The sequence below is a fragment of the Homo sapiens genome, chromosome 15 (assembly GCF_000001405.40).
Source record: "Homo sapiens chromosome 15, GRCh38.p14 Primary Assembly".
NCBI classification, from domain to species: domain Eukaryota; kingdom Metazoa; phylum Chordata; class Mammalia; order Primates; family Hominidae; genus Homo; species Homo sapiens.
This window is the reverse complement of record NC_000015.10, coordinates 64426231-64442843: the sequence shown is the minus strand read 5'-3', so window position 1 is coordinate 64442843 and position 16613 is coordinate 64426231. Positions and strand designations below refer to the sequence as shown.

Sequence of the window (16613 nt, the reverse complement as noted above, 5' to 3'; positions counted from 1 at the left end):
AGCTAATTTTGTATTTTTAGTAGAAACAGGGTTTCACCATGTTAGCCAGGCTGGTCTTGAACTCCTGACCTCAGGTAATCCACCTGCCTCAGCCTCCCAAAGTGCTGGGATTACAGGCGTGAGCCACCGTGCCTGGCTCAGTTCTCATCTTAATTGATCTATCTGTAGTAGAACTTGATCTATCTGTAGTAGAACTTGATAGAATTCTTTTTTTTTTTTATCTTCACTCTTGCCATCCAAAGATAGAATTCTTTTCTCTGGCTAGGTGCGGTGGCTCACACTTCTAATCCCAGCACTTTGGGAGGCCCAGGCAGGAGGATTGCTTGAGCCCAGGAGTTTGGGATCAGCCTGGGCAACATAGCAAGACCCCATCTCTACAAAAAATAAAACGTTAAAAAAATTAGCCAAGCATAGTGGCACACACTCTAGCGTGGGCAACAGAGTGAGACCCTGTCTCAAAGAAAAGCCAAAGTATATCCAATATCTCACCATTTCTTAAGACTTCAATGGCTACTTCCCTGGTCCAAGCCATCATAATGTCTCCCTGGGCTTCTGCAATAACCTCTTAAGTGGTCTGTTTCTGCCCTTAACTTCCCTCTTGGTCTATTCTCAACACAGCCGCCAGAACTAATTTTTTTTTTTTTTGTATCAGATCACGCCATTCTTCTGCTTAAAACTCTCCAACGGGTTTTCATCTCAATCAGAATAAAAGTCTAAGTCCTTGCTTACCATGACCTACAAGTCCATAGACAATCTGGCCCCCCATTTCCTCTCTGATACCTTCTCTTACTTCTCTCCTTCACTTTCACTCCACTCTTGCCACACTGGCTTCCTTGTTGTTCCTGCCTCAGGTTTTTTGCACTTGCCTTTTCCTTCTTCCTGGAATGCTTTTCACCCTAGATATTTCCATGGCTTCTTCCCTCTCTTCCTTCAGAACTTTGTTGAAGTGTCAACTTTTAGTGAATATTCTTGATAACCCTATTTAAAATCAGAGCACCAAATTCCCCACAAACTTGGCACTCTTAAACTACCTCTCCAGCCTTATTTTTTATTTATATATATATATTTTTTGAGACGGAGTCTCGCTCTGTTGCCCAGGCTGGAGTGCAGTGGGGCAATCTTGGCTCACTGCAAGCTCCATCTCCCGGGTTCACACCATTCTCCTGCCTCAGCCTCCCGAGTGGCTGGGACTACAAGTGCCCGGCACTATGCCCGGCTAATTTTTTGTATTTTTAGTAGAGACGGGGTTTCACCGTGTTAGCCAGGATGGTCTCAATCTCCTGACCTCATGATCCACCTGCCTCGGCCTTCCAAAGTGCTGGGATTACAGGCGTGAGCCACCACGCCCGGCCCTCTCCAGCCTTATTTTACCATCGTCTGATACAATATAATTTACTTATTTAGAACTTTTACTTGGTCTCGACTCACTAGGATGAAAGCTCCATGAGGACGGGGATTTTTGTTTTGTTTACTCATCAGCATCTAGGACCATGCCTAGTTCACAGCAGGCAATCAATAAATACTTGTTGAATAAAAACGCAATGAATTGGCCGGGCGCAGTGGCTCACACCTGTAATCCCAGCACTTTGGGAGGCCAAAGCGGGCGGACCACGAGGTCAGGAGATTGAGACCATCCTGGCTAAAACTGTGAAACCCCGTCTCTACTAAAAATACAAAAAATTAGCCAGGCGTGGTGGCGGGCACCAGTAGTCCCAGCTACGCCGGAGGCTGAGGCAGGAGAATGGCGTGAACCCGGGAGGCGGAGCTTGCAGTGAGCCGAGATCGCACCACTGCACTCCATCCAGACTGGGTGACAGAGCGAGACTCGGTCTCAAAAATAAAAAAAAAAAAAATGAATTTACCAACTTGTGCATTAACGTTATTTTATTCATGGTGAATACACACATGCTGGGAATTGTACACTCTTAGAACTATAACTCTAAGTAAAAGTAGATATTACTCTTAATGTGTTATCCCTAAGCTTGTGTCTTGGCAAGTAGTCAATATGGCTCTATGTTTAAGAAAAACCACCCTGATGTGTATTAACAGAGTAAGAAAATGTTAAATAGTGGGAAAAACTGGAAAAATGGTGGACAAATTAAATAACAATAGGTTCCTTGGACCCATCATGCCTCACAATAAAGACAAACATAAAAATCAACTTTCCCAGATGAATCTCAAATTAAAGTTCCAGGTGAATATCCCTTTTCCTACTACTAGCACTGAACTTCAAGGGGCTTACAAGAAACAGAGGTGAAAAGCAAAGTGGCCTACAAGGAATAAAGTAAAGCCTATGCATTGGAAGAAGAGATTATTTTTCATTATCAAATGCATTAAAACGAAGTTAGCTTGGCAGAGCCTCAGTACCTCCAAAAAAAAAAAAAGACAACCACAATCCCCATAACCAGGGCCTGGACACTAAAGACCACATTACATACTAACAAGCCACTATATACTTACATTGTATCCTCACAAGTAAGGGATATCTGGTCTGAAAGTCAGAAAACTAAAATGCAGATTACCCAGAGAAAGAATAAGAGAAGGGAGGTGAAGAATGTGAATAAGCTCTGGATGTCACATTTTATTTTATATTTATTATTAATTAATTATTATTTTGAGATTTCACTCTGTGACCCAGGCCGGAGTGCAGTGGTGTGTTCGTAGCTCACTACAGCCTTGACCTGGAGGGCTCAAGCCACTCAGGAGGTACTGGAGACTACAGGTGCACACCACCAGACCTGTCTAATTTTATTTTTTTTAGAGGACTAAATAAATATGTATATATATATAAATTTCTTTTGCCATTTTCATAAGAGAAAAAATTGGTTAGCAGTTTTTGTCAACCACCACTGATTCAGTGGAAAATGGGCATTTTCACCAAATCTTCAAGCCTCCCCTTCATTCTTATTCATTCTTGTACTGAAATGATCAATAACTCCTAAACTATGTCACTCTTCACAACAAATTCCCAGATGATCTGTAAATCTTATATCTGTCTCCAGATATAAGATTTATACGTTAGCCAGGCATGGTGGCTCATGCCTGTAATCCTAGCACTTTGGGAGGCCGAGACAGGTGGATTGCTTGAGGCCAGGAGTTCAAAACCAGCCTGGCCAACATGGTGAAACCCCGTTTCTACTAAAAATACAAAAAATTAGCCGGCATGATGGCGGGCACCTGTAATCCCAGCCACTCGGGAGGCTGAGGCAAGAGGATCACCTGAACCTGGGAGGTGGAGGTTGCAGTGAGCCAAGATTACGCCATTGCACTCCAGCCTGGGCAACAAGAGTGAAACTCCATCTCAAAAAAAAAAAAAAAAAAAAAAAAAAAAGATTTATAAGTTGTTATTTGAAGAACTAATAACTAAAGCAACAATAATAGGGAATTCATTAACAAAGAACATATATTTGCTGTAGGCATTCTTGGTCTGAATTTTGAGGAACTAGATAGAACATGAAATCAGGGTCTGAAATCTCGTTAGCTGAAAACCAACTCCAAGAAGACTGAGGTGATAATATGCAGAAAGAGAGAAGGAAATGAGTCTGATAAAGAGGTGCAAGAACAGATCCAAGGAAGCATATCCCGCAAGCAACTGTGCTCTGTGATAAACAGTTCTCATTTATATTTTCCTTCAAAGCAATTCAAGGTGTCACAGGATAACTACCACCCCAGGCCCCACTCTACTGGAAGATAAACGTTTTCTTACTTCAGGGTGACCTACTGATCATAATACTTTGACCAGATGACGACTGAATATTTGACTAGGGTTGAATAAAGATCATACCACTTGGCCCAAAGTGGGATAGTTGAACTCCCATATACCAGTAACCCAATTCAAGTCACATGCCTAGTATCTAAGACAGGGGCTTCCAGCTCAATGCTACAGAGACAATCCATATATGTACCAGGTGAAAGAAATAAGTGATAAGACACACACAAACTTACAGATCTTATAGCCATTTGTGGAAGACAATCTGGTTGAAGCAGCTACAACCAGGTCTCATTTTATCGACAGTAACATTTCCACTGTGGTTTCCTGTGCCCTGTGGAATCGTATGCTAGAACCTCCACATAAAAGAACTCAAACAAGTATATTTTCTCTAAAATTAACCTCATAACTTTTCTGGCCTGATTCTTCAAGGCCTAACTGGGAATCACCCACTCATGACAATTATTTTTGGTCTTCATTTTAATATAATAGGCTTCCACTCCAACTTAAACTAGTGAACACCAGAAGAAAGTTGCTTTTAATTAAAGACAATTTTGGGAGGCCGAGGCAAGTGCATCACCTGAGGTTGGGAGTTCGAGACCAGCCTGACCAACATGGAGAAACCCTGTCTCTACTAAAAATACAAAATTAGCCAGATGTGATGGTGCATGCCTGTAATCCCAGCTACTTGGGAGGCTGAGGCAGGAGAATCGTTTGAACCTGGGAGGCAGAGGTTGCAGTGAGCTGAGATCGTGCCATTGCACTCCAGCCTAGGCAACAAGAGCGAAACTCAAAATAAATAAATGAATGAATGAATGACAGTACATGGTAAGGTCTTCAACCAACAAAGTCCACTCTGAGACTATTACCTCAGAATGCTGAAGACTTCTCTTGAGTTAAGGGCTGTGCCAATTTTAGATTTTATTTTCCCAATGGCTAGTCTGACTCAACTGAAAACTTCTGAGGCAGTGCTCTGAGAGATCTTTGACTTCACTTAACATATCAAGGTAAGGTCATTGTCAAGCAATCTGGTGTTATTAATGTCAACAATACTCCTTTATCAAATAACATATCTTTTAGAACAAAAAAGAAACCCAAGTTGATCCTAGACTTCTCTCACCCTTCATATCCAGTAAAATTACTAAGTCCTACAAACTTTACCTCCTAAACATTCCAATCATCAGATCCTTTCTCTTCAACTCAACTGACACAGCATTGCTGCAGATCTTCATCATAACTCACCTGGACAACCATAATTTCCTAAATCATCTCTGTTTTCAGGCTTGCCCCATCCAGTACATCCTTCCTACAGCTGCCAGGACAATCGTAAAACATGACTTTGGCTGGGTGTGGTGGCTCAGGCCGGTAATCCCAGCACTTAGGGAACCCCAGGCGGGTGAATCACCTGAGGACAGTAGTTCCAGACCAGCCTGGCCAACATGGCAAAACCCATCTCTACTGAAAATACAAAAAAATTAGCTAAACGTGGTGGCGTGCGCCTGTAATACCAGCTACTCAGGAGGCTGAGGCAGGAGAATCGCTTGAACCTGGGAGGTGGAGGTTGCAGTGAGCCGAGATCGCACCAGTGCACCCTAGCCTGCACGACAGAGTGAGACTCTGTCTCAAAAAAAAAAAACAAAGTAACACGACTTCATATGATTATCTTTAGAACACAGTTCAAATCCTTTCATATGGCATTTTTTTCTTTTTTGTTTTTTGAGATGGAGTCTCACCCTGTCGCCCAGGTTGGAGTGCAATGGTGCAATCTCAGCTCACTGCAACTCTGCCTCCCAGGTTCAAGAGATTCTCCTGCCTCAGCCTCCTGAGTAGCAGCTGGGATTATAGGTATGCGCCTGGCTAATTTTTTTTTTAATCTTTAGTAGACACAGGGTTTCACCATGTTGGCCAGGCTACTCTTGAACTCCCAACCTCGTGATCCACCCACCTCAGCCTCCCAAAGTGCTGGGATTACAGGTGTGAGCCACCACACCCGGCCAAGATTTTTCATATATCTACCATTGTCTCCCTCTCTATTTATTGTCATGACCACTTACTGTGCACCTACTACATGGCAGGCTCTATGTTAGCACACTGATATAAAGGTGAATAAGACATAGACGGTCACCTAGGCCAGGCCTGGAGGCTCATGCCTGTAATCCCAGCACTCTGGGAGGCTGAGGCAGGCAGATCATGAGGTCAGGAGATGGAGACCATCCTGGCCAACATGGTGCAACCCCGTCTCTACTAAAAATACAAAAATTAGCTGGGTGTGGTGGCACACAACCTGCAGCCGAGATCGCGCCACTGCACTCCAGCCAGGCAACAGAGTGAGACTCCTTATTAAAAAAAAAAAAAAAAAAAAAAAAAAAAAGGCATAGATGGTCACCTAAAGAACTACATGTCAATATTAAAAAAAAAAAAAAAAAGCAGTAATAGAAGTATGAACACAGTAGGAACCCAAAGAAGGAAATTAATCCTGTTAGGGAGGAAATGGGCTGGGGTTAGGGAAGACTTCAGAGAGTAACATCTGAGATTTTTTTTTTGTTGATGGAGTCTTGCTCTGTTGCCCAGGCTACAGTGCAGTAGCGCGATCTCAGCTCACTGCAACCTCCGCCTCCTTGGTTCAAGTGATTCTCTGCCTCAGCCTCCTGAGTAGCTGGGATTACAGGCGCCCGCCACCATGCCCAACTAATTTTTATATTCTTAGTAGAGACAGGGTTTCACCATGCTGCCCAGGCTGGTCTTGAACTCCTGACCTCGTGATCTGCCCGCCTCGGCCTCCCAAAGTGCTGGAATTACAGGCGTAAGCCAATGTGCCTGGCTGATTTTTTTTTTCTTTTGAGACGGAGTGTCGTTCTGTTGCCCAGGCTGGAGTGCAATAGTACGATCTCAGCTCATTGCAACCTCCGCCTCCTGGATTCAAGGGATTCTCCTGCCTCAGCCTCCTGAGTAGCTGGGAACACAGGCATATGTCACCACACCCGGTTAATTTTTGTATTTTTAGTAGAGACAGGGTTTCATCATGTTGGTCAGGCTGGTCTCGAACTCCTGACCTCAGGTGATCCAAATGCGTCGGCCTCCCAAAATGCTGGGATTACAGGTGTGAGCCACCCCGCCCAGCCTGAGATGTTTTAAAGGATGAGCAGGAGCTGTCCTAGTGGACAAGGGCATGGTGACATGATGTAGAATGGTTTATTGAAGAAAATATAAATTTTACTTTCTTCAGGTTTTTTTTTTTTTTCAATCTACCATTATGGTATTCCAGGAAGCATTGCTTCTGCAGGACTTGTCTTTTTTTTTTTTTTTTTTTTTAAGAAGCTTCCTTTACACTCCCCCTCCCATCCCACTTCCAGCCATGCAAAGTTAACAGTTGGGTCCCTTCCTTAGTGTATTCCACTATTCATGTGATAGTTATTATGGTTGGGTTTTCTTGTCTCAGTTTCATCTAGTATACTTAAAGATCTAGAGGGGATGGAATAATGTTGTTAAAACTCTGGATCCTTAGTATTTAACACAGTGCCTGGCACATGACAGATAGTTAATAAATACTTAATGAATGTATGATTATATAATATCCTAAGCAATAATAATATTTTTTTTTTTTTTTTTGAGACAGAGTCTCACTCTGTCGCCCAGGTTGGAATGCAGTGGCGCGATCTCGGCTCACTGCAACCTCCGCCACCCAGGTTCCAAGGATTCTCCTGCCTCACCCTTCCGAGTAGCTGGGATTACAGGCACATGCCACCACGCCCGGCAGATTTTTTTTGTATTTTTTTTAGCAGAGATGGGGTTTCATCACATTGACCAGGCTGGTCTTGAACTCCTGACCTCGTGATCTGCCCGCCATGGCCTCCCAAAGTGCTGGGATTACAGGCGTGAGCCACTGCACCCGGCATCTTTTTTTTTTTTTTTTTTTTTTTTGAGATGGGGTCTCACTCTGTCACTCAGGCTGGAGTGCACTGATGCAATCTGCTCACTGCAACCCTTGCCTCCCCGGCTCAAGGGATCCTCCCACCTCGGCCTCCTTAGTAGTTGGGTTTACAGGTGCATGCCACCATGCCCAGCTAATTTTTGTATTTTTTGTAGAGACGGGGTTTCACCAGGTTGCCCAGGCTCATCTCGAACTCCTGGGCTCAAGTGACCTGCCCACCTGAGCCACCCAAAGTGCTGGGATTACAGGCGTGAGCCACCATGCCTGGCCAATAATATCTTAAATTAGAAGATAAGTTGCCACTTGGTTTACATGGTAGACTAGATGACAAACCAAGGAGTCCTGAACAGATTCCAAGTAGATAGCGACACTACAGCATATTCTTTCTAGATCAAATAGACCACTTTCTCTAAGCCTTGGTTTACTTAAAGGTAAAATGAAGGCATCATATCCAGTAATTGATTCTACCTACATAAAGCCCCTTGCATCATTGTTCCTGTCTTGCCTCATTTCATTGGCATTATCCTAGAACATATTTTTCAAACATCTCTATCCTGGACTACAACTGTCTTCTCACTGGTCTTCCCATCTTCAGAATATCTCCACTCCATCTTCCACATTTCTGCCAAATTAGTTTTCCCTCAAGCAAGCCTCAGATCATGTTAATGCCTCAAAAAAACTTCAAAACACTCTTTCCCATCCCACAACTGATATGTCTATCATTTGATAGATTTGAATGCCTATCATTCAAAACTATCTATCATCTGAACAAACCTACCTTTTCATTTTTTTTTTTTTTTTCTTGAGACGGAGTTTCACTCTTGTTGCCCAGGCTGGAGTGCAATGGCACAATCTCGACTCACTGCAGCCTCTGCCTCCTGGGTTGAAGTGATTCTCCTGCCTCAGCCTCCTGAGTAGCTGGGATTACAGGCATGCGCCACCACGCCCAGCTAATTTTATATTTCTAGTAGAGACGGGGTTTTTCCATGTTGGTCTGGCTGGTCTCGAACTCCTAACCTCAGGTGATCCACCTGCCTCGGCCTTCCAAAGTGCTGGGATTACAGGTGTGAGCCACTGTGCCCAGCCCTTTTTAATTTTTTTTTAATTGGGCAGTCCCAGAAGCAGATTAGTTTCAGAGAGACTCCCCATTTCATTTTTTGTTTGCTGCTTATTCCTCTATACCAGGGGTATTCAATCTTTTGGCTTCTCTGGGCCACGCTGGAAGAATTGTCCTGGGCCACACATAAAATACACTAACGATAACTGATGAGCTTTAAAAAAAAAAATCACACACAAAAAATCTCATGTTTTAAGAAAGTTTACAAATTTGTGTTTGGTCTCATTCAAAGCCGTCCTGGACCACATGCATCCCACGGGCCACAGCTTGGACAAGCTTGCTCTATACTCACACTCTTCTTTCAATGAACTGGTTTGCCATTATTCTCCATAGAGGCCGATAACTTCACCTCTGTGCCTTTGCTCCCATTACTCCTCATCCTTGTAATATGCTTTTCTACCATCTCAGTAGAAACACTTGAACAGCAAAATCATAACTCTACCATTAACTGACATTACATAAGTTATTTTTTATTTATTTTTTGAGATGGAGTCTCGCACTGTTGCCTGGGCTGGAGTGCAATGGTGCGATCTCAGCTGACTGCAGCCTCTGCCTCCTGGGTTCATGTGATTCTCCTGCCTCAGCCTCCCAAGTGGCTGGGATTACAGGTGCACATCACCACGCCTGGCTAATTTTTTTTGTATTTTTAGTAGAGATGAGGTTTCATTATGTTGACCAGGCTGGTCTCGAACTCCTCACCCTGGACATTACACAAGTTATTTGAACTCTCTTGACACTTTAGGGATGATATTTCATCCCTAAAGGAGGGGAAATGACACCCTGCTTGGAATTATTATAAGGATTAGAAAATAGCATGATGAATGTGGCACATAATAACTGATCAAAAAGTGATAGATTTCATTACTATCCTTCAAAGCTAATTCAAAACCATCTTTTTAAATAAAGTCTTTTGGGATCCTTCCCAGCTAGAAGCAAGCTTTCCCTCCTTTATTTTTCTCAGAGACAGTCTTTACTTCTTTTAAGACAGTTAGGTTCACTTTTTATTTTATATTTGGTTTATATACATATCTACCTAGAAGTCTTTCAAACATCTGAGGACAGAATCTACAGTTGATTCATCCTTTTGTTTCTCTTAGTGTTTAGAACAGTGCCTGATTTATAATAGGCTCTCAAGTGTTTATTTATTTATTTATTTATTTATTTTTATTTATTTTTGAGATGGAGTCTTGCTCTGTTGCCCAGGCTGGAGTACAGTGGCGCAATCTTGGCTCACTACAACCTCCACCTCCCGGGTTCAAGAGATTCTCCTGCCTCAGCCTCCCGAGTAGCTGGGATTACAGGCGCATGCCACGACGCCCAGCTAATTTTTTGTATTTTTAGTAGAGAAGGGGTTTCACCATGTTAGCCAGGATAGTCTTGATCTCCTGACCTTGTGATCCGCCCATCTTGGCCTCCCAAGCTGCTGGGATTAAAGGTGTGAGTCACCACGCCCGGCTGTATTTATTTATTTATTTTTCAGACAGAGTCTTGCTCTGTCACCCAGGCTGGAGTGCAGTGGCGCAATCTCGGCTCACCGTAACCTCTGCCTCCCAGGATCAAGTGATTCTCCTGCCTCAGTGACCCAAGTAGCTGGGATTACAGGGGTGCGCCACCATGCCCAGCTAATTTTTGTATTTTTAGTAGAGATGGTCACCAAGCTGGTCAAGCTGGTCTCAAGAGCCTGACCTTGAGTGATCCGCCTGCATCGGTCTCCCAAAGCGGTGGGATTACAGGCGTAAACCACTGCGCCTGGCTCAAGTATTTATTAATGAATAAATATATATGAAAATCTTAAGAATTTCATGTTTATTTTCAGATGAAAACCAAAACACTAAATACATGGAAAAGTGGTAATATTTCCCATCTCTCTTCAGGATAAGTACAACAGAAAACATAATGCTCAGCCAGGCATGGTGGCTCATGCCTGTAATCCCAGCACTTTGGGAGGCCGAGGCAGGCGGATCACGAGGTCAAGAGTTCAAGACTAGCCTGGCCAACATGGTGAAACCCTGTCTCTACTAAAAATACAAAAATTAGCCGGGCGTGGTGGTGCGTACCTGCAATCCCAGCTACTCAGGAGGCTGAGGCAGGAGAATTGCTCGAACCTAGGAGGCAGAGGTTGCAGTGAGCCAAGATCACTCCACTGCACTCCACCACCCTGGACGACAGAGTACGACTCCGTCTCAAAAAAAAAAAAAAAAAAAAAAAAGAAAACACAATGCTCTTTGGATAAAAAAAATATATATATATATATAATATAAATGGTTTCTGAAACCATTTAAGTGGGTACTTAATACCCAGACTGCAAATAACCCTAAAGACAGTCTGTTTTGATCTAGAAACTCTAGTCAATGTTCCAGTTTTGTTTTTTTTTTTAATTTGAGATGGAGTCTCACGCTGTTGCCCAGGCTGGAGTGCAGTGGTGCAATCTCTGCTCACTGCAACCTCTGCCTCCCGGGTTCAAGTGATTCTCCTGCCTCAGCCTCCCAAGTAGCTGGGATTACGGGCACCCACTACCACACCCAGCTAATTTTTTTTTGTATTTTTAGTAGAGACAGGGTTTCACCATGTTGGCCAGGCTGGTCTTGAACTCCTGACCTCATGATCCACCAGCCTCCGCCTCCCAAAGTGCTGGGATTACAGGCGTGAGCCACCGTGCCCAGCCTGTCAATGTTCCAGTCTTCAAGAGAATTCCAAAACTACATTCCCTATATCTCACTCAAGTGAGCTGTGATTTTAATGAATTGTCCAGGGTTAAGCTAGTTGTTAGTAACATAACAATTTTTCTTCTTGTTGAGTCTCAGATAACAGCCCTCATCGTGAGGGCTGTTATCGGAATATTTTGAGGTCTATATATTGGCAGATTTTCTCAGTACAACAGACAGGACATTTTCACATATTTTAAAAGAGAATTTGTGGACTGCATTTTGAATTCCAGTGCCTGGTTTGAATACTGACTATTAAATCCTTCATTTTCTAATTTCTCATCTCTCAGACTCACAGACAATTCATTGGTGATAGAAGCTGATGATTTCCACAAACGAAGTGATACTTGGAATCTTCCTGAAGATCTATGTTGCTTGGATACTCTTTTTTTTTTAAAGTTTTAAAAATTGCTTACTTTTCTTCCAGCAAATTCTCCTAGATCCTGAAGATACTTTTCTAGAAAAAGGAAGAAGTAATATTCTCTTCCCTATTGGAAGACTACAAGTCTACTGCCGTCAATTATTGGAAACAGGCACCCAGCAGTATAACTGCTTCAGCATAATTCCTTGAAGATAGGGTCTTGGCTATTGTAAAAGCTGTAAGATCAAATAGACTAAAGGGTCAGTAAGCTGGCAGGAAAGGAATGGATTCAGTTCAGAAGAAATAGAATAATCAATGACCTTGGAGATTTCAGACAAATCAGATTTTCTATTGAAGGCAGGGATATAAATAGCACAAACACAACACAGACACGTAGAAACAAAAGCCACCAACTCAACTTTTTGTTTGAAAACTTGTTAGGTCTAGAGAACTGTTCAAACCACAGCTGCTAATGGTTATGGATTTGGCAATCAAAATGTCTTTGTTAAAAAAAAAAAGTTTTAACTGCCTTACTATTGAGGTTACAAACCACAGCCTTGATGCATTGTTGCAGTCAACATCCTCCCTGCTGTTTTTGAGAGCTTACATCTGCTGCTGGCAGATAAAATGCTGGCAAACAGCATGGGCTCCTTCCAGGGGAATCACAGGAGAAGCTTTAACGAGATGGCTCTCATCTACCTTTTTACCCTGAGTTGAACCCATAGCCTTTTCTATATCACTTCTACCTTCTCTAGGCTGATCCTCTGCCATTACTCAGGAGGGTTGAGGATCTAGAGGAATTTTTTCTGGCACAAATTAGTCATGTTGGCCATACTAATCTTAGAAGATAAAAAGGAAGACTAGTTCATGGCTCAGGAGAAAGCACATATTTTTAAAGCCATTTAACAGTGTAGTGCACTTGATTTTAAAACAACCACTAACAAAACCTTTTCGATTTTCTTTTTTTAAGAGGACTAAATGATCACACTATGCCAAAAATAGTGAGGGTTTAGTGTATTTTAACTTATCAAAGAAAGGCCAAGAATGTGAGGTCAGAAGTAAATTACTGAATTTTGGGGGGAAAAGAAAAAGGAACAGCATGTAAAGGCAAAATGTGGTCCAAGTCACACAGGAAGTTAGTTTCAGTTGAAGTAAAAATTACTAGATCCACATTAGTTTTCAAAGAAAATGCAATTCAACTGGGTGATAAATGAATATGGAGATACTGAAGGGAAGGCACAGGTCACAGTTAGGAAACTACTTCCTAGATGGTTCTCTCTCAGTGAGTTGACCTATGAGAATACAGAAAAATCAAGCATACTTAGACTAACACTCCTAAACTGTAAATACCATGATACCAGTTCTGTAGTATGTAAATAGGTAGTGCATGTTTGGGTGGGGGATTAATTTATGCTCAAAGTTTTGAGAACACTGCATGTTATATCCACCTCATAGAGAGTCATAATCCACACTAGCATATTAAGGGCTCTGAGATGTTCTACAGTAAACAGATCTGTTTAATCCAAAGGTATTTCCCAAATTTGTGTTTCAGAGAACACCTATGCCATGGAATAGTTTGGTAAATGCTAGTCAAGAGCCATTATTCCTAAACTCTCAACTCATTCATTCAGAAAACAAGAATGAGGCTGGTATAATAGATTAGACAACTACATTTCTTTTTTTATTTTTATTTTATTTTTTTTGAGACAGAATTTTGCTCTTGTCACTCAGGCTGGAGTGCAGTGGCACAATCTCGGCTCACTGCAACCTCTGCCTCCCAGGTTCAAGCAATTCTCCTGCCTCAGCCTCCCCAGAAGCTGAGATTACAGGCTCCTGCCACCACGCCTGGCTAATTTTTGTAGTTTTTTAGTAGAGACGGGGTTTCACCATGTTGGCCAGGCTGGTCTCGAACTCCTAGCCTCAAGTGATCCACCCGCCTCGGCCTCCCAAAGTGCTGGGATTATAGGCATGAGCCACCACGCCCAACCCAAAAGCTACAACTTTTAAAACTGATAAACTCTTTACTCAATAAATAAGATAAAAATAGGGCTAACATCAATTCTAAATAAATTCATATGCTACCCTTAAACACAGAAAAGAAACAGTGGAGGCCAGGCACAGTGGCTCACACCTGTAATCCCAGCACTTTGGGAGGTCAATGCGGGTGTATCACCTGATGTCAGGAGTTCGAGACCAGCCTGACCAACATGGTGAAACCCTGCTTCTACTAAAAATACAAAAAAAAATGGCCAGGTGTGGTGGTATGTGCCTGTAATCCCAGCTACTCAGGAGGGTGAGGCAAGAGAATCGCTTGATCCTGAGAGGCAGAGGTTGCAGTGAGCCAAGATTGCACCACTGCATTCCAGCCTGGGCAACAGAGTGAGACTCCGTCTCAAAAAAAAGAAAAAAGAAACAGTGGGAAAAAGTTACAGAAAAGCCAACCATAGGGAAAATGGGTATGGGATTCCCATGTCTGATGAAGCCTAGTGGCTTCTGTTATATTTTAATGTTATATATCAGAGACATTCATAAAGAGAGTTGCCAGCACCTCTAGCTGGAAACATATGGGAGGATTCCTGCACTTCTACATGCTGTTCAAAGCAACCTCAGGAAATGAGATACAATATAAGTTAAAGGAGAAGTATCATGAAAAAGAGGTATCCTTCAGAAATCAACAAGACTTGTTTTAATTAGATTTCTAATTCCTGTAACCTTCATAGTATTCCATAGATCAGGATTATAGTTTCCTACCCTTCTCTACACAAATTTGTGGCACAAAGAAGATTGGCTATCTAGAGATTGAAATCATTTGACCTTGTATCAGGTGGTAGTTTGCTTGATCAATAGATGAGAAAATAAAGCAAGGCCGCTTGCCAAAAACCATCATCCACATTGCCAGATGCTCCTGGGTTCTCTTTTAGAACGCAAATACATATCCCAGGAAGAAAACATAATGCAGTATGTTATACTAAGCTGTTAACGACTGTGAATCTCTAAAACTGTAAAGCCTACACCAGTGTAAGGTATTTTTATAATATTACTTCTAGACTGGGGGAAAAAAAAAGAGGGGGGAGGAAGAAAGTAGACATTGAAAAAAATGGGCAAAAAGCTCAGAGGGATAGTGCAGGCACAAGAGTGTGGGGGATAGCCTCCATGTGTCTATGGTTTTGCCTAGGTCTGGATCAGATACTAAGGGAAGAACAAAACGCTAGAACTCAAAATTCACACCAAAATGCATGCATTGTACTCACACACATAATCAGAGGAGGCAGAGGAGGTAACTCACAAGGAAATGAAAGACATAAATCTAGAGGGATAACAAGTGTTAGTTAAAATCAGTCAGTAGGCTGGCCACAGTGGCTCACACCTATAATCAAAGCACTTCGGGAAGCTGAGGCAGGTGGATCACTTGAGGCCAGGAGTTCAAGACCAGCTTCGCCAACATGGTGAAATCTTGTCTCTACTAAAAATACAAAAATTAGCTGGGCATGGTGGTGTGGTGCCTGTAGTCCCAGCTACTGGGAGGCTGAGGTGGGAGGATCACTTAAGCCCAGGAGGCAGAGGTTGCAGTGAGCCAAGATTGGCACTCCAGCCTGGACGACAGAGTGAGACCCAGTTTCCAAAAAAAATAAATAAAGAGTAAAGAATAGAGAGGGTAAAATGGCTGGGAACAGTAAAGGAAAACAGTAGACAGTAATAACAGTAATGAAAGGTAAGTAAGTCTGAAAAAGAGAATTTGCTGGGAAAAATGAAACTGAAGCTCTTTTTCTTCAGCACACTGGTGGAAGCCCTATTATCTAAAGCAACTGTTCAAAGAACAGGAAAACCATACTGATAGGTAAGACTGTTTGTGCTTCAAGGATGGACTTTTCCTGTTTTGGATTTCTGCTAGTTCTGTGTCTAAACATAAAGGTCTTACATTTCAGGAATTTTCTAATTAAGTTAAAGTATTTCGGCTCCCTCTGCTGCTCAAAAATGTACTTTAGTTACATCAGTTCAATCTTTTTTTTTTCTTTTTTTTGAGACAGAGCCTTGCTCTGTTGCCCAGGCTGGAGCGCAGTGGCATGATCTCGGCTTACTGCAACCTCTGCCTTCTGGGTTCAGGAAATTCTCCTGCCTCAGCCTCCCGAATAGTTGGGACTATAAGCGCGTGCCATCACACCCAGCAATTTTTTTTGTATTTTTATAGAGATGGGGTTTGACCGTGTTAGCCAGGATAGTCTTGATCTCCTGACCTCATGATCTGCCCGCCTTGGCCTCCCAAAGCACTGGGATTACAGGCGTGAGCCACCATGCCCATCTTTTTTTTTTTTTTTTTTTTGAGACAGAGTCTCACTCTGTCGCCCAGGCTGGAGTGCAGTGGCACGATCTCAGCTCACTGCAACCTCTGCCTCCTAGGTTCAAGCAATTCTCCTGCCTCAGCCTCCTGAGTAGCTGGGATTACAGGCATGCGCCACCATACCAGGCTAATTTTTGTATTTTTAGTAGAAGCGGGGTTTCACCATGTTGGCCAGGTTGGTCTCAAACTCCTGACTTAAAGTGATCCACCCGCTTTGGCTTCCCAAAGTGCTGGGACTGCAGGTGTAAGCCACTGCGCCCGACCTGTCAGTTCAATCTTTAGTGATAAAAATTAAAATATATAAATGCATACATATGTACATTCATACATATGTACATTCATACATAAATACACATACCTCCTCCCAAATATGGCACAGTCCTGGCAATCAGAGTCAAATACATTTGCCTATCATGAGTTCAATAGCCTGGACCAAAAGCTCCAGAATTAG

General features: G+C 42.6%; 1 protein-coding gene across 3 annotated transcripts in view, besides 2 other annotated features; it reads right to left on the bottom strand.

The window, feature by feature from the left end:
* Nucleotides 1-16613, bottom strand: part of TRIP4 (thyroid hormone receptor interactor 4) — a 67468-nt gene that overhangs the window by 12460 nt on the left and 38395 nt on the right. The gene's annotated exons all lie outside the window — the stretch shown is intronic.
* Nucleotides 11807-12318: an enhancer, noted in NCBI's record as "OCT4-NANOG hESC enhancer chr15:64722725-64723236 (GRCh37/hg19 assembly coordinates)". NCBI's record gives its function as "activates a minimal SCP1, AML or CMV promoter by ChIP-STARR-seq in naive and primed H9 embryonic stem cells {active_cell/tissue: H9 hESC(naive and primed)}" and the evidence as "EXISTENCE:reporter gene assay evidence [ECO:0000049][PMID:30033119]".
* Nucleotides 12319-12830: an enhancer, noted in NCBI's record as "OCT4-NANOG hESC enhancer chr15:64722213-64722724 (GRCh37/hg19 assembly coordinates)". NCBI's record gives its function as "activates a minimal SCP1, AML or CMV promoter by ChIP-STARR-seq in naive and primed H9 embryonic stem cells {active_cell/tissue: H9 hESC(naive and primed)}" and the evidence as "EXISTENCE:reporter gene assay evidence [ECO:0000049][PMID:30033119]".